At 44.3% G+C, this 22273-nt stretch overlaps 1 protein-coding gene across 7 annotated transcripts in view, besides 1 other annotated feature; it reads left to right on the top strand.

The window, feature by feature from the left end:
• Positions 1 to 22273, top strand: part of EVC2 (EvC ciliary complex subunit 2) — a 180538-nt gene that overhangs the window by 34268 nt on the left and 123997 nt on the right. For all 7 annotated transcript variants that reach the window (XM_047449611.1, NM_001166136.2, XM_017007736.2 and 4 more), the window contains 2 exons: positions 9632 to 9766; positions 12035 to 12174. In XM_047449611.1, the coding sequence (XP_047305567.1) occupies positions 9632 to 9766; positions 12035 to 12174 (275 nt within the window). The remainder of the gene's footprint in view (positions 1 to 9631; positions 9767 to 12034; positions 12175 to 22273) is intronic.
• Positions 9740 to 10939: an enhancer, noted in NCBI's record as "BRD4-independent group 4 enhancer chr4:5666069-5667268 (GRCh37/hg19 assembly coordinates)". NCBI's record gives its function as "activates an origin of replication core promoter dependent on BRD2, P300/CBP, MED14 and CDK7 cofactors, and independent of BRD4, by STARR-seq in HCT116 cells {active_cell/tissue: HCT116}" and the evidence as "EXISTENCE:reporter gene assay evidence [ECO:0000049][PMID:35650434]".

The following is a 22273-nucleotide window of genomic DNA, read 5'->3' as shown; positions in this document are numbered from 1 at the left end:
ACTAGGATGTGATCTGGAGAAAACTGGATTTAGGTACACATAGTTGCAAACTTTAAAAACAGCACTCAGATAAGTGAGAAACTTGGGGAAATATTTGTAATATACATAAGAGACAAAAGATTAATGTTTTTAATATGTAAAGAGCATCTTAATTTATAAGAGATGGAATGCCACAATAGGTAGCTATCTATGATGTGAGAATTTCCCAAAGACGAGGCTTAGGAGGTGCCCTTGAAGCACAGTGGCGGCCCGTGTCACTCTGTAGGCAAAATCACGTGGCTGTGAGTTGCATTTGTATGCCTGGGGGCTTGTACACAATTGCACGTTATCATTTTTGCCTTCTCCGTGGACATTCGAAGCCCACTGACCATTGCCCTAATCTGCATTTCTTGTTTTCATTACTGCCCCAGCATCCTATCCTTTCTGCCTCCAGTTTTACTCCCTACCCAGCCCATTGTCCACGCTGGGGTGGTCTTCCCTAAAATGCAAACCTGAATGCTTTCTATTCTTGAGGGGCCTCCATTCAGGATCCATCAGGAAAGTTAACCCCTGCTAACCATCTCTCGGGGCCACTGGGCGCCTTTGTTTTCCATTACGCTCTGGTTTTGCACATCCTGTTCTTAGCTTACCTGTTCTTTGGGCAACTTGTAAACCTCCTGCTGGACCCTGACCAGCATCTGCACGCTGTGATGCCCGAGCCCTCCCCTGGCCAGCTAGTTGTGCCCTTGGCTGGGGTCCTATGCATTGGATCATTTATTAAAGCCTGGCACTGTGTGAAGTTGAGAGTATTCCTCTGGATGGCACTTAATACCTTTTTGTTGACATCAGAATAGAATTGTTGAACTGGAAGAGACCTTAAAGATTATCTAGTCCCACTTTCTCATTTTAAAAACCTCTTGTCCAGGGAGGCTCTGGGAACTGGCCAGGTTCAGAACTCAACATCATTGCAGTCAGAATCATGCTGTGTGATGTGTTCTCTACTCCAGATGCTATTTGCTAGATTGGGAAATTAGCAAAGCTGCGTTGGTAAGTGTGATTGTCTCTGCCTGTGATTATCTTCGAGATCTCACTCTTGCCCCAATTGTCAGCTGGGAGGCCAAGGGTCTCTTTGCCCTCAGGGCTGCCCCTCAGGGACTGTGTGACAAGGGCCAGCAAGCCACTCACCCCTCTGTTTCTTGGGTCTCAAGCTCAAAGTAAAAGATTTCAAGTAAATGATTCTTAGACTGTTCCGGAGGAAACATTCGTCTCATCTCCCATGTTCATCAAGCATTTTCTGTGTTTCGAAGGGTTGGGTGGGTGGGATTTAATATAAGGCCACTGTGGGCATTTTGAAGAAATGTCCTCTTCTTACCACCACCCTCCACGTGCAGAAAAGTTGGAAGAATAAAATAGCTTCATGCCGTAATCCCACCAGCAGGGAGAACCATTGCTAACATGTTCACATCTCGCCATCCACAAGACTGTGAATATATTTAGTACATAATGAAGTCAAACTCTGTAAACAATTCTTCATCATGCTTTTGTAACTTGGTGTTGGATTCTGAGCATTTAAAGCATTCGTTTTGAAAGGCCTGTTTATCCAGCATCGCTCTTCATAAATGCAGTGACAGAATGCATCAAAGGCATCTGCTCCTGCTAATATGTGATTAAAGGGTGGTAATCGTGGATGATTCTTTTCCAGAGACAAGAAGGAAAGTGAGGAGGACTCTGGGGGGGAAGCCGGGATAACCATCTCTTTTTCTTTATTCTTAGACAATGAGGTTTAAGGTAAAGATGCTCTTTGGAATCTGTACTTACAGTGATTCTCAGTGGAACTTGGCTGCAGCATGTTTAAGGGAATCTCAGAAGTATGATTTACGTGGGGCTGATTCTGGTGCTCTCAGCCACTTCTGGTTCTGAACTCATCACTGCAGCGGTGGGTCCCACCAGCATCCTGTCCCCCGAGCTGGATTCAGGGACATTGTTGGCTCCTCCTGTGTCTGGCTTCTTACATATACATTCCATCACAACACTCTGTTGACTGTGTCTCCTGATCTGTGCCCTTCCCACCAGCCAACAACAGTAGTAGCAATAGCGGCTCAGATTTTCTGACTTCTGTGTACCATAACCCTAAACATTAGGCACTGTTTCTGTGTGTGTGGTAAAGTATACACAGCCTAACATTTACTGTTATTGACAGTTACTACAGTCAATAGGTGTTGTGCAGCCATCACCACTGTCTGCTTACAGAACATTTTCCCCACTCCGAAAGGAAACTTGGTACCCATTGGTGACTTCCCATTTCCTTCTCCCCCAGCCCCTGGCAAACCACTCATCTGCTTCTGTCTCTGGATTTGCCGACCCTGTACATTTCAGATAAGTGGAATCACACAGTACGTGTCCTTTTGTGTCTGGCGTCTTTCACTTAGCATCAAGTTTTCAGTGTTCCTCCATGTTGTAGCATGCACCAGAACTTCATTCCTTTTTGTGGCTGAATAATAGTCCATTATATGGATATACACATGTTCTTTATTCATCAGGACGTTTGGCTTATTGTAAACAGTGCTGCTGTGAGCATTCGAGTACAGATTTTTGTTCGAATACCTGTTTTAAATTATTTGGGGTATATGCTTGGGGGTGAAATTGCTCGGTTGTATGGTAATTCTATTTTTAACCTATTGCCTCTCAGAGCTGGGGAGACCCAGCCTCCCACAGTGTGGAAAGGGGTGGATCTAAGAGTTGAACCCCCATCAAAAGCCAAAGTCCACGGTCCTTGCTGGCGTGTCCCGTTGCCTCCTGCAGCCTCTTTTCATGCCCCCTATTTCTCCCTTGGCATCCAGATTTACCTTCCTCCAGGCTGAAGTCATACAGCGGCCAGAGTTGTCTTTCTAAAATACTGATCTAACCATGTTTCTTCATGGCTTAAAGCCTCTTAGTTGTTCCCCTGATTCCCTTAGGATGACACAGCAAATCCCTAACCTGCTCTCGAAGGCTCTGTCAGGCTGGGGCTGCTTCTCTTGCCGGCTTCAGGCCTTGTTCAGGCCAGTCCTTCTCCAGGCTCGCCCTCCCCCTGGCCCAGCTCGTTCTCCTCTGCCCACTGGATCACCTCTTGGAAAGCCTTATCCTGTCCTTTGAGCTAGGAGAGGAGCTCCCCTCCCTCCCCCAGTTCTCCAGGCTCCCCAGCCTCAGCCCAGGCACACTGTGGCATCAGCATCTGCCTGCCTGTTCATTCCTCTGTAGGACTGTGAGCTCCTTGAGTAGGGCCTGGCTCTGGTTCCTCCTCGTTCTTCCAGCACCTAGTACAGGGCTCCAGTGACTCAGTGAATTAACATCAGGAAAGTGTAGTGTCACATCCAAACACGGGGTCAAACCTGGCAGCCCACTTGATGTATCCACTTAAATAGAGCGTTTCAGGCAAACAAATTATAGCAAACCTTGGTTTCTTCACATGTGAAATGGATGTAAGAATTCTGCACTTAAAATATTGTTTGAGGCCAGGCGCAGTGGCTGACGTCTGTAATCCCAACACTTTGGGAGGCCGAGGTGGGCAGAGCACGAGGTCAGGAGTTTAAGACAAGCCTGGCCAACATGGTGAAACCCCGTCTCTACAAAAAGTACAAAAATTAGCTGGGCATGGTGGCAGGCGCCTGTAATCCCAGCTACTTGGAAGGCTGAGGCAGGAGAATCGCTTGAACCCAGGAGGTGGAGGTTGCAGTGAGCCGAGATTGTGCCATTGCACTCCAGCCTGGGCAACAAGAGCAAGACTCTATCTCAAAAATAAATAAATAAATAAAGTATTGTTTGAAATATTAAAAAGGGAATAAAGCCTGGTCTGTGGACAAAATTAAAGTTTGAAGGGATTAGGAAGGCTTTTGGCCAGAGACTCAGGAGTTCCAAAATCCTGCCCTGCTGCTACTCCCTCACCCCCAAAAGGTGAGCTGCATACTCAGAGTGGGAATGAAAGTGTTAACAGGGGCACAAACCCTTGATGGCTCGATGCAGGGCTCCTGATAAAGGGCCAGCCTAGGAGAGGCAGCGGGGGTATGAAGGCCACTAGCCCCAACTGCTGGATGTGAGTCTTGGGTCTACTACTTACTCTATCTGTGACCTTGGGCCATTTTAAAAACTTTTTTCTACAATGACATTATAATTTATAAAGTGGTGGTTAAAATAGTTCCCATCACAGAGTATTGTTGTGGAGATTAAATGGATTAATACATGTAAAGCACTTGGATCCATCCCTGGTGCTTAGTATCTGCATAATACATGTTCTGTGAAATGACAGTGGTAATGGTGTTGCTGCCGCTGATGGTGTCATGATGGTGTTGATGGTGGTGGGCGTGAAGATGATGGTGATGGTGATATTGATGATGTTTATAGTGATTGTGATGGTCATGGTGAAGATGATGGTGATGGGGATATTGATGATGTTGATAATGATGGTGGTGATGGGGATATTGATGATGTTGATAGTGATGGTGGCTATGGTAATGGTGGTGGTGGTCATGGTGGTGATGGTGATAATGAATTTGATGGCGATGCTGCTGATGATGGCGTTGATGGTGATGGTGAAGATGATGGTGATGGAGATATTGATGATGTTGATAATGATGGTGGTGATGGCCATGGTGAAGGTGATTGGCATATTGATAATGTTGACAATGATGGTAGTGATGGTGATGGTGAAGATGATGGTGATGGTGATATTGATGATGTTGATAGTGATGGTGGTGATGGCCAATGTGAAGATGATGGTGATGGGGATATTGATGATGTTGATAATCGTGGTGGCGATGGTGATGGTGGTGATGGTGATGGTGGGGATGGTGATGATGAATTTGATGGTGATCCTGCTGATATTGATCATAATGGTGTTGATGGTGATGGTAAAGATGAAAATGATGGAGATATTGATGATGTTGATAATGATGGTGGTGATGGTGGTGGTGACAGTCATTGTGGTGATGGTGATGATGAATTTGATGGTGATGCTGCTGCTGATGGTGATCATGATGGTGTTAATGAAGATGTTGATCATGATGGTGATGGTAAAGATAGTTATGATGGGGATATTGATGATGTTGATAATCATGGTGGTAATATTAATGTTGGTGATGATGATAGTGATGGTAGTGATTATATGGAGCCTCCTTCTTCTCATAAAATTACATATTGAGATCTTACTCTTCTTTGGTCATTCTTCACTGAGGAAGAAGATTGAAGAGTAGAGGCATTGTAGGCAGGGCAGGACCTAGCATAATTTAACAACACAGATAAATGAAGAAAATGAGGGTCATGAGTGGGTTTGCCCCATGGAGGTAGGCTCTACCTAGGTTTGCTTGTTACTTGGTGTCAGAAAGCAGGAATTGTAAGAGAAGGGGGTGACAGGTGATGGGATCTGCAGAACTGGCCCTGGTTTTTCCCTCTTCCTAGGTCCAGGCTTCCATTCCCACAACTGTGTTGCTACTTTAAGCATTGATCTAGACCCTGCTCCACTAAACTGCCCACAGTACCTCTACTCTTCAGTTTCTCTTGGCAATGCCCTTGTGGCCAAAGGAAAGTAAGATCTCAAGATGTGGATTTAGAAGGTGGAAGTGGAAAGAGGAAGAGATTTGAGGTAGCCTGACTCACCTGTCCACTTCCACTTCATGAAGCAGGAGGGAGGGAGGCAGGGAGACAGAAGGGGAGAAGGAACATACGAGAGAGTTCTTTTCCTGGCTTTTACGGTAGAGTGATGCTGCCCATATGTAATGTCAGTCATACAACTAACTTCTACCATGGTGTGGGAGATTAGGACTAAAAACATTTTAGAAAAACATACAGCCCCCTGGACAGTAAGTAGTGTCCAGCTCTAGTGGGACAAACGTAGACATTGGAGTCCAGCAGAGCTAATTTTGTTTTAGCTGTGGACATCAATTAATTTTTTAATCTCTTTGCATCTCCATTTGTCTATCAGTAGAACAGGGATGATACGTGTTCCACAGGATTACAGAAGATTGAATGAAATAAAGTATATGAAGCATTGTGTTAGTGTCCTCAGGCTGCCATAACAAATCTCCACAAGCTTGGTACCTTAATACAACAATTTAATTTTCTCACAGTTCTGCAGGCTGGAAGTCTGAAATTAAGGTGTAGGCAGGCAGGGCCATGCTGTTTATAAAGACCCTGGAGAAGCATCTTCCTTTGCCTCTTCTTAGCTTCTGGTGGCTCAGAAATCCTTAGCATTCCTTGAAATCCTTGGCTTATAGCTGCATCACTCAGTATCTGCCTCCATCTTCACATGGCCATCTTTTCTGTGTGTGTCTACAAATCTCCCTCTCCTCATGAAGACACGATCATTGGATTTAGGACTCACTGTGACCCAGTATGACCTCATCTTAACTTGTCTACATCTGCAAAGACAATTTCTAAATAAAGTCACATTCATAGGTATTGGGGTTAGGACTTCAACATGTCTTTTTGGAGGGCACAACTCAACTCAACTCACTACATTTACCTAGCCCAGAGATTGGCGTTTTGTTGGTGATCAAAATTGTTAATCCCCTTTACCTCTCATTCCCTCTTCTCGAAGATGAAAAAACAAGTTGTTGCCTTCTTTGAAGATAAAGGGGATTAAAAATCTTGAAAACAGATTGCTGATCTTTAGCTACTGTGTTGTTTTACAGACAGATTTTTTTTAGTTTCCTTTCCATCAATATTTTGACATAACCTCCATGCAATGCTATTTACGTTTATTCAGCTTATCGATTTTTTTCTTGTCTAGTAGGTACACACTCAGGGCTCAGGGAGCAGAGGGACATGTCCAGAACAAATGGAGTACTTGGATTTCATTTTAGTGTTAATCAAAATTCAAGATTTAGGATCAAGAGGATGTTAGAGCAAGAAAACAGAATTGGTTCTCTGACAGTCTCTGATAACAGCCTTTGTGGACAGAGGCTGATTTATCAAAGATGAGTTATAAGTGGCATCACACTTTGATTCAGGTTTCAATAAGCATTTGAACTGAAGCTCCTGTTTTTGACCTAACTTAGCTTTGACAGTCTAGAAGGTCAGGGTGGCCTCATTGGTCTGTCAGAAAAAATGTAACCTTGACTACAATCTGCACTGTGGCTGCAAGAATGAGGAATAGGCTAGTTGTCTTCTAGCTCCTAAATAATACATTCGGTATCCCATGGTCTGGAGCCATTTTGAATTAAACTAATTGTCACAGGTTGGCTTTTCTGGAGACAGATGCTGATGCAGAGTTTGGGGTATAATATGCTTTCCATTGTGCAGAGAAGAGTTAGCATATCAAACCGAAGGCTGCTATCCTTAGAAAAGCTTGCTTACAAGATTGATCCTGGGCTGGTGTCTGGAAACTTGGATTTCAGGATTCCCATCTTCTTAAAACTGCTAAGAGTGGCTCCCTGTGCCTGAACTGTTTTTTACATGTAGTATAGTTTATGCTGATTACCTGCTGTTTTTCTTGGAGTATGAAATTTTGGTACATGCCAGGCACAGGGTGCCTATGTGATCAGCCTCGAATAAAAACCCTGGACACTGAGTCCCTAATGAGCTTCCCTAGTAGAATACATTTCACATGAGTTGTCACAACCCCTCTCTGGGGGAATTAAGCACATCTTTTGTGACTCCGCTGGAGTCTGGAAGCATGTGCCTGGTTTTCCTTGGGCTTTACTCCATTCTTCCCTTTTCTGACTTTGCTTTGTGTCTTTTTGCTGTAATAAACCATACCTGTGAGTGGGATTGTATGCAGGTGGCCTTGGGGACCCTTGGTACAATCAGTGACCCCCTATGAAAGGAAAAAGAAAGGAGCAGGATTGAAAACAGGAAGAAGTTGAATTGTGATTTGGGTTGACAAACCCTCAGCAGTCTGGGTGATTTTCATCTATCAAATTTGCCTTACTTTTTTTATAATCATCATCATAATAGTAGTAATAATAATAATTATTATTATCTCTTATTACACAAATAATACCTACTCATTGTAGAAATATTAGAAAACAAGCATAAAGAAGGTGAAAAACCTCATCAAGAAATTACATTCAAATAAAATTCTGGAGGATTTTCTTTATAATTTACACATGCATATGTATATATGCACATTATTTTTATTTTAGTGAAATGGAGATTATACTGTGTGTATTTCTTTGCAAAGTTACATTACTATATAAGACTTTTTATATATTATTAGAAATGTATTCAAATATCTTCTTTAAAATGCTAAGATATTCAGAACTATAGGGAAAAGGGAGAAATCTTAAAAAGCACCCAGAAAACAAAAACAGATTCTTCTAAAAGGCCATCAGGCACACTTCTGTCAGAAGACAGTAGAATGGCACCATCAACATCTTGAGGGAAAGTTATTTTAGCCATGAATTATGTAGCCAGCCATACTATCAGTCAAACTGAGAACTAAGTGACAGCATTGCCAGATGTGAGAAAAGAGCATCTTCTCCAAACGAACTTACTTGAGAATAAATAGATACTTAGGATACTTCATCAAAATAAAAAAGAATTATCCAAGAAAAAGGAAGAAATGGGATCCAAGAAACAGTTTTTCTTCAATGAGTAATGCTGTGACAATATAGAAGGCAGTGGAGAAAAAGAAAAAGCTCTCTATGATACCAGAAAACCTAGAAAGTAGCCAGGTCTGATTAAATCAGAAAGTCAGAGAACTCTGGGAATGATGACTTTAAGAAAAAGTAAATTTGACTCTCTGTAACAGATAGTATTATTAAGAACATGGGTGTATGCTAGGAAGAAAAAAGATAGGCCATGAAAAACTTCAGGAAAAACAAAAAGTCACACAAGGAAGTGCTAATTCACACTGAAGCAAACTAAAAATGTAGCCTGATTTGGAATAATTGATAAAGTGTGAGAAAAGGGACTGAATTAGGAACACACTCCTTTGAGGAGCAGATATTTAGTGTCACAGGATTGGATCCAATTACTTTACTCTGCAGTGAGCAAATTTTGCCTAATCATAATAATATTGTCTTTTAAAATTTGTAGTTGCTGGGATTAACCTATAAACAATAATCAGGATTGAATTCTGGTTGCAGAACAAAATATATATGCTATAAACCTAAAAAATGCTAGAAGGCAGAAGCAGGGAAGGAGGGGCGGGGGTAAATGTGGCCCACTAATCTCACCAGTCAGAAGACAAGAGATTTTCTCTAAATATAATACCGTAAAAATTGGGGTTTAATTATTTAATCTAAAGTTAATAGAGGGTAGCGGGAAGGTGAGGGTGCCATGGGTTCTTCCTCTGGCCTCTGCAAAATTCTACCTGTGATTCTCAGAAAATGTCACGGATCCCTAGTGCTTCCTTTGGATTATCATGTTTTTGATTTGGAAACTTAACATTCTTGAGTGTCTGTGATGTGCTAGGCGTGCGGCTGGATGGTGCTATTGTGTGCAAATCACCATGCCTCAGGTCTTTGACAGGCTTGTCATGCACTGAGGAAGTTCAGGCTCAGAGAGGACCAGCGAGGGCCTCCAGGCAGCCAGCTGGTAGCTGGCAGAGCGAGACTCAAATGCAAGCGAGTCCCCTGGTCCCTGCTTGGTCTGCTCTGACACTCAATCATCTGTGAGGCCTGGGAGACATGCTGTCTGACCACACATGAATCCTGCTCTCCTCTTGTCTCCACAGGTTCTGCCGCACCACGGCCTCCACGCAGCAGGGTTCTTCATTGCCTTCCTCCTCTCCCTTGTGCTGACCTGGGCTGCCCTCTTCCTCATGGTTCGCTATCAGTGTCTGAAGGGAAACATGCTCACCAGACATCGGGTGAGTCTTCCCTGAGGGTGGTTTGGAAGGTGGTGAATGTGAGGTTGAAGTTCATCCCCCAGTTCTGTGGGTCTCAGCCCTGGATCCCCATCAGCATTGCTGAGGGAGCTGTGCACAAAAACCCATGCCCAGGGCCCACCTCCAAAACTGCTGTTTGTCCTGGGATGCATCCCCATCATTCTTTTTTTTTCTTAAGAGCCAGGGTCTTGCTGTGCTGTGCAGGCTGAGTCCAGTGGCGATTCCTAGGCACAATCACAGAACGTTACAACTTGGAACTCCTGGGCTTAAGCAGTCCTCCTGCTTCAGCCTTCCAGGTAGCTGGGACTGCAGCTACACACCAACATGCCTGGTTTAGTCATTTTTAAAACTTCTAAGCAGCAACCAGGTGGGAGAACCACTGCAGCCATTACCCCATACAAAGCCCATCACCCACACGCAGCCTGTCACCCACATGCATCCCATTACCCACGGGCATCCCATCACCCACACGCATCCCGTCACCCACACGCATCCCGTCACCCCACATGCATCCTGTCACCCACACGCACCCCATCACCCACACACACCCCATCACCCACACGCAGCCCGTCACCCACACGCACCCCATCACCCACACGTACCCCATCACCCACACGCAGCCCATTACCTGAGACTAGAATTCCCATTCAAGTAGCTTATGTGGGAAGTGATCCCAGGACAAAAGGGGAGGTGGTGGGAAGTGAGGCAGAAAGGGAAGGTGTCTGGTAAAGGGTGTGTTTCATCAGGGACCTGGGCCCTGATGGGCTTAGTCCTGCCCTGGGGCTTAGTCCTGCCCAGGGGCTCTGGAGGCTGGAAATTCCACCCCAGCCTGGGTGAGGAGCCTGTTGTTCATTTTGTCCCTGCTTCTTGGAGGAGAGGATTGTCATTTCAAAATGAGGTCAGCCCACAGTCTCCTTGGCGGGCAAAAGTGAGAAGAAAAACGTCCCATCTAATCAGACCTTGTACTGATTCTCCCAAAGCTGTTATCAATCAGAAGAACTAAACGCACCCTGCTGCTTTGATGTCGGAGCAGGATTCATTTTCCAGAGATTAAGGCAGATCATAAGAACTGCACAGAGGAAAGCAAGAGTATGAATTTGATTTAAGGCGTGAAGACCCTTGCAGTACTTTTTTCCTGGCATCACAGAATGAACTCTTCTCACATTTTTCTTTATTTTTTTGCCAGCATAGTGGTGGTCAGTGGTCTGCTCTAAAGCAGAAGGCAGCCTTCAGAGTTGGATTGGGGTTAAAAATCAACCGGGCTCTTCTGAGCTGTGTGACCTTCAATAACGTTATTTCACTTCTGTGAGCCTCAGTTTTCCTATTTGTAAAATGGGGGCACCAACACTGCGTTGTTGTAACAGCTTCATGATAACACAAAGAAAGCACTGAAAATAATACCTGGCACAGGGACAAGAATTGTTAAAGGTTAGCTATAGCTATGCATTTTTGCAGAGTTAATGATATTGGAGACAACACAGATATCTCTTATCCAATCAGAGGGTTGGGCTTATTTATCTCTAATGTCACTTCCAGCTCACAATCCTATATTCTTTCTTTCTTTCTTTATTTTTTTGAGACAGAGTCTCACTCTGTCTCCCAGGATGGAGTGCAGTGGCGCAATCTCGGCTCACTGCAGCTTCCGTCTCCTGGGTTCAAGTGGTTCTCCTGCCTTAGCCTCCTGAGTAGCTGGGATTACAGGTGCCTGCCACCACGCCTGGCTAATTTTTGTATTTTTAGTAGAGACAGGGTTTCACCGTGTTGGCCAGGCTGGTGTCAAACTCCTAACCTCAAGTGATCCATCCACCTCAGCCTCCCAAAGTGCTGGGATTACAGGCGTGAGCCACCACGCCCCACTCAATCCTATATTCCGATTAGAAACTAGCCAGATCTCTGATGTCAAGGTCCATCATACCTGTTTTGAGGTTTCCTCTACCTGATAATGATAAAGATGATGATAGTTAAATAGTTTATAGGTCTTACAGGCTGAAAAGTTCTTTCTGTCCATTGTTCCACTTTACCCACACAACATCCTCATGCAGGGCTAGTAGAATTATGATCCCATTTCTTTGCAGAGAAAACAGAGGCTCAGGGACATTCGCAAAAGCTTGTCTGGGTTTACTGTGGTCACAGTGGTGGGGCTGATTGGGTGCTCAGACTGCAGACCCCTGGCCTTCCCTCCTGGCTTTCTCAGCACGTGGAATTCACAAGAAGGCCCAATCAATTATTATTTCCGCAATTCTCCTGAAGGTTTGGCAGTATGAGAGCAAGCTGGAACCCTTGCCGTTCACCTCAGCTGATGGCGTGAATGAGGACCTTTCCCTTAACGACCAAATGATAGACATTCTGTCTTCCGAGGACCCTGGGAGCATGCTTCAAGCCTTAGAAGAGTAAGAATTCTAAATCCCATTATACTTACACACATGTGATGAATGTTTTAACGACAGTGACATAAGGCCAAATGCTGAGTATATTTCATTCATTCAGTTAATCATTTGTCACTCTGTAGTCATAATTCAACAACTGCTATGCACTGAATGTTTGGCATCTAGGAAAAGAGGTGTAGATGACATACTTCCTGCTCTAAGGAAGTCTGATCTAGTAGGAAAGACTGAAACATAAACAGAAGTGACCACAGAATTGGGTGACCACCATGCAAATGGGAAGGTCAGGGCCGGCAGAGCACAGAAGAGGAAGTAATTACTTCTGAGAAAGTCACAGAAATGCTTCCTGGAGGAGGTGGCATTGAACTAATTATTTCAATAATTATTGGATAATTATTGAATAATTATTATTTTAATAATTATATTTAATATTATATTTATATTTAATATCAATATAAATATAATTAATATATTATATTTTAATATAATTAATCTAAATATATTTAAATATAATTAAAATAAATATGATTAATATAAATATATATTATATTTAATATATTTAATATTAATATTATATTTAATATATTTAATATTAATATTATATTTAATATATTTAATATTAATATTATATTTAATATTATATTAATAATAATTATTGAATAATTAGTTTATTCAATAAACTATTGAACTAATAACAATTTTTTTATTTATTTTTAACTTTTAAGTTTAGGGATATGCGTGTAGGTTTGTTATATAGGTAAACTCGTGTCACAGGGGGTTTGTTGTACAGATTATTTCATCATCCAGGTATTAAGTCTAGTACTCATTAGTTAAGAGGGAGAGAATCTGAATTGATTCTGAAAGCTTATGAAGAAGCTTTCCAAGTTGATTAAGCGTGGAAACGATTTTCAGACAGAGGAAAGAAAGGGCAGATGTAAGGACGTGAAAGGAGCAAGGTGCGTTTGGTGAGATGTCAGTAGCCAAGTGTGGCTGATGTGCAGATTGGGGTATTGAGTATAGAAAATAAAGAAGAGGCAGCAGGGGAGAGAGGCCAGACCAGGTGATGTGAGTGTGTACTGAACTGAATTCAGTTCTTCTTATGTAGTTAATGAATATTAACATCATCCTCCCTATGTGCAATAGCAGATAGTGCCAGACACTGTTTAAGAACTTCACAGAACTAACTCGTATAATCCTCTTAACAAGCCCATGAAGTAGGTATTGCTCTCTGTAACATCTTATGGATGAGAACTGGAGAGAGGTTAAGTAACTTGCCCAAGGGCATATACTAGTAAATGATAGGGTCAGGTTTTAAACTCAGGTCATCTGCTCCATGGTCCAGGCTTTTAATCATTGCCCAAGATTTCTCCTGGATGGACACATGGGTCACAGTCTAATAGATAACCTTAACTAGATGAGGTTCATCAGCATGGCCTTGTCGTTCCTTCTTTCCTTTCATCAGATATTTAAGATGACTTCTTTATGTTTTCTTTAATTTTCCGTTGTTTTGGCCAAAAATCTCAATCTTATTTTTTTATTTACTCTCAAACAAAATTATTTTGAAGTGTCTGACTGAAGACGTTATTATCTGTACCCTCGTTCTGTGTCTGTTATCTAGAGTACCACTCAGTTTTTGATCATATTTTCTTGTCTCATATCTCTGTGTATTTTTGATTATGTGCTAGACATTGTATAGGAAGTTGAGAAGACAATCTGAGGACGAGGGTGATGTTATCTTCTTCTAAGTGGCTAGCAACATAATTATGGATTATATTAATCCAGTCAGAGATTGAGATCATTCAAAGCTGGGCTTCATTTCTCCCAGATCAAATTCTTATTTGGTTATATCTGATGATTTTTATTTTAACATTCTTTGCTTTCTTGGTAGACTGCTGATGATTAATAATGGGGCCAAATGTGAACCCTTCAAATTGGATTCCATTTACAGGAAACTTTTTTTATTCTAGATTAAAGATGTGTGGCTTTCTGCCCACTCACTACCCACTGGAGGGTAATTTGTGTGAATTTGGAATCATCAAGATGACAATAAACTGTAATGCCTTATGTTTTCAGATAAAATACCTTATGTTTATGTCACATTTAGAAATGTGCACACCCCTTATTTAATTTGGTGCTCATGTCACGCCCCTTATTTAATTTGGTACTGCTTTTTGGTATGGCATCTTATTTTCAGTGTTTGATAGTTGAAGCAGCTGAGGCTCAGCTAGGCTGAGAGGTTTACCCACAGTGATACATCTGGTGAGTGAAGAATGGGACTTGAGCTTCCTCACTATTTAGGCTCAGGCACATTTATATTTTACAGACATTCTCTGAGCCTAGTTTTCTCATCTCTCAAATGGGGAACCCGTAACCTAGAGCCTTTTGATACTGTCATGTGTAATGATGTGAAAGAGACTTGTGATGGGGATGCATCCTTATGGTGATAGCTGCCTGTGAGCCCTGGTCAGATTAGCAGACCATAAAGAGAAGTGGTCAGGGCGAGTAGCCCTTCCTTGAGTCTTTCTCAAGAGAATTGAAAGCATACTGAAAATGGGAGATCTGGGAAGCAAAACTGAGCAGCTTCCTGATCCTATCTCCCTGGGTCCAGGAAGTGGTGTCCTGTGACACAAAGAGGTAGATCCTAGGTAGAACCAGAAACAGCTCTGGCTCATCCTTTTCAGGAGCAACTACTTAACTGGCCTGAGAGAAGAGCTCTGCTAGGTCTGACTCATGCCACTTTGTGAGCTCAATGACTGTTCTCAGAAGAAAGGGACTCTCCTCTGTTTTGAATGGGTGCTCCTTCCTCACAGAGTGCCTGGTGAAGAGCCAGGCTTGGAGCCTCGTAAGTGCAGGGCTGACCTTGCACCAAGAGGGGAGTCAGGGCTTGTTAATCCATTTCTGGGTGCCAGAGTTGTGTGGCTTGGTTAATTAAGCCTTGTGCAGCCATCCAGATGCCATTCTTCATTTTCACTTAACTCCCTAATCAGAATGGCAAGGATTACAAATTAAAATTTGCCACCTTGTCTGAAGTAGTAGGGAGAAATGGACGAGCAATGGGAGACGAAGTTATTGGCAGAGGTTCATAAATGTCACTTATTATATTAAGTGATGTGAGCAGCTAATTATCAAATGATTTCAGAGCTAAAAGTCTGTTTTCTTACAAAACATGAAAATGAAAAGTAGAGTGAAATGATTTGGATCATGCAATCAGCACCCGGATATTTAATTTGCAAGTATGTGGTACTCTATAACCTTCTGACTAAAGTAATTAGTACTTTAAAAGAGGAAAGTATTAATCCTCCTGTTTTTGTTTTTTATTCAAAAAGTGATGGGGCATAAGAAGCCGAGTCTTTCTTTATCCCTACATTATATGAAATTATAAGCAGCTGCTGCAGTTTGCCAGTCCTGATGCTTGAGTACAATAGGAATGTTGAAGTTTATAATGATTTTGTTCTTGCACCTCTGGAATTATATATTCATTTCTCTTGGGAGCTTGTCTTATTTTGCCTGAAGAGTGTTTAGCATTGATTATCAAGCATGCACGGAGAGTGTTCAGCTTGTGAGCTAAATTCATTCCTCTCTTCCTCTCCCCCAGCCTCCCATCCTCCCTCCCGTCCCAACATTCAATATTTATTGAACTCCAATTCAGTTTCAGGCATTGTGGTTGGACACTAGTTTTAAGAACCCAGTCTTTTTTTTTTTTTTTTCAATTATAGCATTGCCAATTACTTTTAATCTTTCCATCTTGCTCTGTGGTCCTGCTTAGATGCTCCCAGAAAGAAAATGTCACTCAGAATGGCAGGAGCTTAGTATGCATGGAAATCTGTGATACACTTCCCACTAAAAATAGCATTTTTCTCTGGCAAATCAGTTATCGCATTTGTAATTCTAACATGAAGCTTAGCTGGGATTCGAAATATGCCATTACGTGACTTGATTGCCCCCTCATTTCAAGCCCCATGAGAGCTGTAACTTTGCTCTATCCTGCCGAGTTATTTTTGACAAAGAGCATTTCCGAGGTGTGCGTGGTGGTTTATCTTTTACATTGCTTATTCATAGGCTGTCTCTTACAGAGAGGATTTGAGGAAGGAATATTTCCTTTGATTTTTATCAGGCTCCTTGACTGTGGTTATAATGGAGGTGGACTCAGTCTCAGCACATGCTGGGACCAGGAGGAGGGAGGAACTGGGCAGGACTGGCTGGTCCTGGAAGCTTCTAGGGGCATGGAGTGCCGAGCATGTTTTAGCTCCAGCCTTACTCTGGGCCTGACCACTGCCACACACCTCTCGCCTGCGATCTTATTTAATTCTCACAACTCTCTCGTTTTAGACCAGGAAGCTGGGGTTCAGAAAGATTTATTGGTTTTTCCCTAAGGTCACACAGGTAGTAATGGATTTGGCTTAGGCCTGAGTGTTTTCAATCTTTTCTTCTACTGACCGAACAGCTTTTTAAAAAGACTGAGCTTAGATTTTTTCAGAGTCAAAGAACGTAAGACAAAAAAAGAAGTTCAGACCTATGTCTGTTTTCTCTATTATTAGAATGAGCTTAGGACTCTTTCTGGATGCTACCAACATTACCTCTAAACTGTCTCGAAATTGTGTTTGTACAAAGTAAGTGTTCCATGAGTATTTGTCGAATTGAGGTTTTTAAATATGTGTGTTTAGTAGTTTTTTATGTGCCAACCATATGGTATATTTTTACAACTACTACTCTTTTTATTCTTTGTAAACACTTTAGAGAAATGATTTTGTTCCTCATCTCTAAAAACTTGAAGCCCAGGGAAGTTAAACAACTCATCCAAGGTTCTTTGTTCACTTGTTCTTTGATTGGGTTGCTGGTTCATGCAAGCAGTACTTTTAAAAAAGTAATTAATGGATTGATGAATCCAACAGATTCTTGCTGAGGGCTCCTTCTGCATCAAGCACTGTGGTAGATCCAAGACTCTTGTTTGCCGGACACTAGCAAGTAAGAGTCTTGGTTTTTGTCCTTATAGAGAGTATACAAGCAAACACAACCCTGTGCACTGGTAACTCTTTGATTCTACACTATGGTCAGAGCTATGAAGGGGCAAGGGGCTCTGTTAAAGAATCTTGGAGAGGATGCTTCTAATGGAGGCTTGTTAAGCTGAGAGCTGGCGATGAGCGTTTTGGAGTGGGCAGCAAGCACAAGAGGTGGGAAGGGATGTGGACATTTGAGGACCCAAAAGAGGACCAGGCCAGGGTGGGAGGTGTAGAGGGCACAGAGATTGAAGAGTCATCAGAGCCAGTGAGGGGCCTTCCCTACAGCAGCACTGCCTCCATTCTTTATCCTGAAATTCTGATTTTCTTCACAACACTCAAGGCTGCCGGAAACTACCTTTTTTTTTTTTCTTTTTCAAATTAATGTTGTTGTATTTCATCTTACCCACCTGAGCAGTAAGTTATGTGAGTGCAGGGACCTTCTGTCTTGCTTGCTGATTCATCCCCAGTGCCTCCAACAGTGCCTGGCACAGTAGGTGCCTCTACACAATGGTGTTCTTGGTGGAAAGTCGCCTGCAGAGAAAATTTGAGGCTATAAGGTACATGATAGCAAAGATTAGGATGAGGTGCAGCATTACTCAAACCAGAAGACAACACAACATGTTTCCAGATGTGATGTGGCTCTTCAGGCTACCCAGCTTCCTCCAAGGATGTCCTGTGGCTGGGACACTCTTGCAGGGAGATTCTGTTTGATGGAAGGACTGGAGAGGAGTTGGGCCATCATCTGTCATGGTAGGAAGGATGGCAGAGTCTGTGTAGATGCAGCAGATACGTGGCTTGGGGAGGGAACATGGGATGAACCTGTCAGATGCTTCTCAATGAAGTTCAAGGTGAGGACAGCAGAGGAGGAAAAGGTGGGAATGTAAAAAGTGTGAAGCAGTCCTGACCACGGGGAAGTGGCTTACTAGAGAAACCCAGACTTGCTGAGCAACATGGAGTGCCCGTGTGAGGCTGGTGGGCCTCCCTGCCTGGACGAGGTGCCTTCCCCTGCAGTGGTCTCAGTGGTCTGGATGGAGGCATGGAGGCCACTGGCGGGCAGGGCATAGAGCCCAGTGGTTAAAACCCAGGCCTGACTGCTAGCGTTGAGTCCCAGTTCTGCCACTTACCGTGTTGGTGACTCCACTTGCCTTACCTATACAATGGGATGCAGTGCTGACCTCATCCTGGTACCGGAACCAGAGCTGGCCTGGAGAGCTTTTCCAGGTGAGAGGGAGAGGGATAGGGACTTAGCTGTATTAGTATCCTGTGGCTGTTGTCACAAATTACCGTAACCTTGGTGGTTTCATGCAACAGAAACTCACCGTGTCACTGTTCTGGAGGCCAGAGTCCCAAATCACTTTCTCTGGGCTGAAATCAAGGTATCAGCAGGGCCATGCTCCCTTCAAAGGCTCTGGGAGGGTTGTTCCTGTCTCTTCCAGCTTCTGGGGCTTCCAAGGCTGCAGCACTTCTTGGCTTGTGGCCAACTTACTTCCATCTCTGCCTGCACGTGACCTCCCCTTCTTCTGTGTGTGTGAAATCTTCCTCTGCTCTCTCTTAGGAGGCCACTTGGGACTGGGTTTAGGGCTCACTGGATAATCCAGCATAGTCTCCTCGTGTCAAGATCCTTCACTTAATTATATCTGCAAAGGCCCTTTTCCCTTCGAAGGTCACATTTCCAGGTTCCAGGAATTAGGGCTGGAAATCTTTGGGTGGAAGTGATCGCAACATCTCAAGAGGATGAGGAAGGAAGTGGAGACTTGAGGGACCTCGAGAAGAAGTGAAAGGAGGGGGTCAGTGAGTTAGAGGACTCGATGGGGTGTGTCAGAGAATGGTTTATGGAATGTTCCTGAGGAGCTGAGGGGTCTTCTTAGACACTGGCATGCTGGGAACGGTTACCTCTCCATCAGCAATGGTTGGTCCAGGGCTCAAACCCAGGTCTTCTGACTCCAAGGCCAGGACATCCTCTGGTGCTTCCTGGCTGTTTGTGGACCATTTGGTGGAGATTCTTAGGTCATGCAAGAGGAGACTCACAAAGAGGGAAGAGCCTAAGGTCTGAGTGGAAGCAGCTCTTTTCTGAGACTACAGTGCAGCTTGCCTACCTCCCCCACTTCCCTCAGGAATAGGGATAGACATGGTTCCTTGCACATGGCAGATGCTCATGAAATAGTTCTGGAATTGAACCATCTCACTTCATGACCTGTTGTGAGATATTCCACTGGAAATCCTTGTGGGGTGGTGGTCAGTTTTACGAGGCCCATAAATAATGCCCCTCTCTTTCCCTTCCAAGTTCTAAGCTATTTTGAAACTGTCCTCCCTCCCTCCCTCCCTCCCTCTCTTCTTCCCTCCCTCCCTTCCTTCCTTCTCTTCCTTCCATTTTTTTTTTTTACATGTGGATTAAGTATTTGGTCCATGCCAGGGGCTGTGTGTGCGTGCTCTGCCTCTGAGGCTCTCAGCACAGTCTGTGATGCGCGAGTTGTGTCTATTTCCCATATCAAACCCTGTCCCTTGGGTGGTGCAGGCCTGGCGGTACCAGGTGAACCTCAACCAGCATGTCTGGGCTGGGTCTAAAGGGCCATTAAGACTTGTCAGAATGTGCGTGGGGCATTTCCAGCAGAGGGAACGTGTGCCAGAGGAGAGACTGCAGGAGGCTGGACACAGGGGTGGTAGCGGGGAAGAGGCCTTAGTCTCTGAAAGAGGGTCCTCATGGACCCTTGAATCCCTCCTCACTCCAGCCCCATGATACAGATAACCTGTGTCTAGGTCCCTCTACCTTTCTGGAAGGATCAGTATCAGAGTTCACCTGGAGCACCAGATGGCTGGCAGGAGCAAAGGTCAGCTAAGGTGGACAGCAGCCCTGTCCTCAAACCTGATCCTTGCTTCTGGATTTCCTGAGAGGTGGCAGGTTCCTGCGCAGCACCTGACATGACGGGGTTCTTATGGGGTTTGTAAAGGGGTCACTGGAGAGCAGAGCAGAGGGAATGCCTGCTGGGTTCCCACGGCAACTCTCGCTGTCGTCTTCCAGCAAGGTGAGGATTTCTTGAGGAGTTCTGTGTGACAAACACCTTCTGTTCTCTTGGCAAGTGTTGACTGTGCTCTCCTTCAGCGCTAGGCACGATGTAGGCTGGGTGCCGGGGAGGAAGCCAAGAAAAGCAGGGAGCCTCTCAATACCCACTGTCTGCAGGAAGAGAGGACTCGTGCCGAGAAGCATGGTGCAGGGTACAGCGCAAGATGAAACCAGCATTGCAGTGGCAGCTTCCACCCGACCTGTGACACTCAACATGTTTCTCACTCTGTTCCCAACTGCTTGTTCTGCTTAGTTATGGCCATAGGGGCCTGACTCAACAACAGAGTGGTCTCCTTCAGCGGCCTGGAAGTGTGTCCTTACACCCCTGGACGTGGATTAACCATGCATGGATTAACCATGCACGCCCAGGCCAAGCCTATGTTCCATAGGATTCTCCTCACTCCAGGCACAGTGTGGAATTCAGAAAACATCAGCAAAACTCCAGCCACCCCCACAGTGATGCCCCTGGGCTGCTGGCCTGCACTGCCATTGCCCACCAAAGATTGGAGGAAACCCTTGGAAATGCAAAGAAAGGGCAGGTGAGCAGAGTCGCCTTAGGGAACGGAGAAGCTGACTGCTAGGTTGAAACCTCAAGGATGTAAATGCAAGGGAGAGGCGTCTCCAGTGAGAGGTCCCCTCTGGCACTGTGGATTCCAGAACCCAGAGAAATTCATGTGTGACCTCCTTCTCTAAAAGAGGAGCTTCTGAGAGACCCCTCAAAAACTGCCATCTCTGCCGCAGGGCCTTTCCTGGACTCCAGGGCTGACTCCAGGCCTCACTCCAGGCCTCCTCTTCTCCCTATAGGATATATAGGCTGTTTCCAACCTCTTTTTTTTTTGAGACGGAGTCTCACTCTGTCACTCAGCCTGGAGTGCCGTGGCACAATCTTGGCTCACTGCAACCTCCGCCTCCTAGGTTCAAGTGATTCTCCTGCCTCAGCCTCCTGAGTAGCTGGGATTACAGGCGCCCGCCACCACGCCCAGCTAATTTTTGTATTTTTAGTAGAGACGGGGTTTCACCATGTTGGCCAGGCTGGTGTCGAACTCCTTACCTCAGGTGATCCGCCTGCCTCGGCCTCCCAAAGTGCTGGGATTACAGGCATGAACCACCATGCCCGGCCTGTTTTCAGCCTCTCGTTTCAAGTTCCCATTGCAGCTCCAGATTCTTGGCATCTCAGCGCTGAAGAGAGGGTGGGCCTCGTTTGTAACAGGCACGCATTAAGGAGTCCAGCTCTACTTTTTGTTTACGTAATAGATTATTTTTTAGAACAGTTTTAGATTTATAGAAACATTGAGAGAAGAATACAGAGAGTTCCCATATCTCCCAGACCCAGTTTCCCTTAGTACTCATGTCTTATATTAGCATGCTACATTTGTTACAGTGAATGATCCAATATTGATACATTATTATTAGCTAAAGTTCACAGTCTGTTCAGATTTCCCTAGTTTTTACCAAATGCCCCTTTTCTGTCCAGAGGAAAAGACTTTTTACCGTGACCTTACCTTTCTTAGGGGAAAGAGCATTGTCCCAGCTCATGAGTTAAGAGCTAACCTGAAGATAAAGCAGTTTACACCTTCCCAGGAAAACAGAATCTTAGAATCTGGATACTGCAAAGGATCTTAGTAGTCATCTGGCCCAAATTCTTGGCTAGAGCAGGAATAGTCTCTGGTACGCCTAATAGATGGCCAACCCATTTCTAGTTGGATGTTGTCATGGATGGAGAGGGACTGCAGTCCCTTCAGGGTTGCTGTCATGGGTGGAATTGTGTCCCTCACAAAGCTATGTTGAAGTCATAACTCCTTGGACAGTGAGTGTAACCTTATTTGGAAGTATAATCTTTGCAGTTGTAACCTCACTAAGGTGAGGCTATTAGGGTGGGCCTTGATCCAACGTGACTGGTATATTCATAAGAAGAGGGAAATCTGGACGTAGACACAGGAGGGACCCCATGTGAAGAGAGGCACACACTGAAATGATGCAGCTGCAAGCTAAGGAACACCAAGGGTTGCTGGCAACACCGAGCTGGCATGGAACGGATCCTCCC

Source organism: Homo sapiens, chromosome 4 (genome assembly GCF_000001405.40).
Source record: "Homo sapiens chromosome 4, GRCh38.p14 Primary Assembly".
NCBI classification, from domain to species: Eukaryota; Metazoa; Chordata; class Mammalia; order Primates; family Hominidae; genus Homo; species Homo sapiens.
This window is presented reverse-complemented; position numbering and strand designations above follow the sequence as displayed.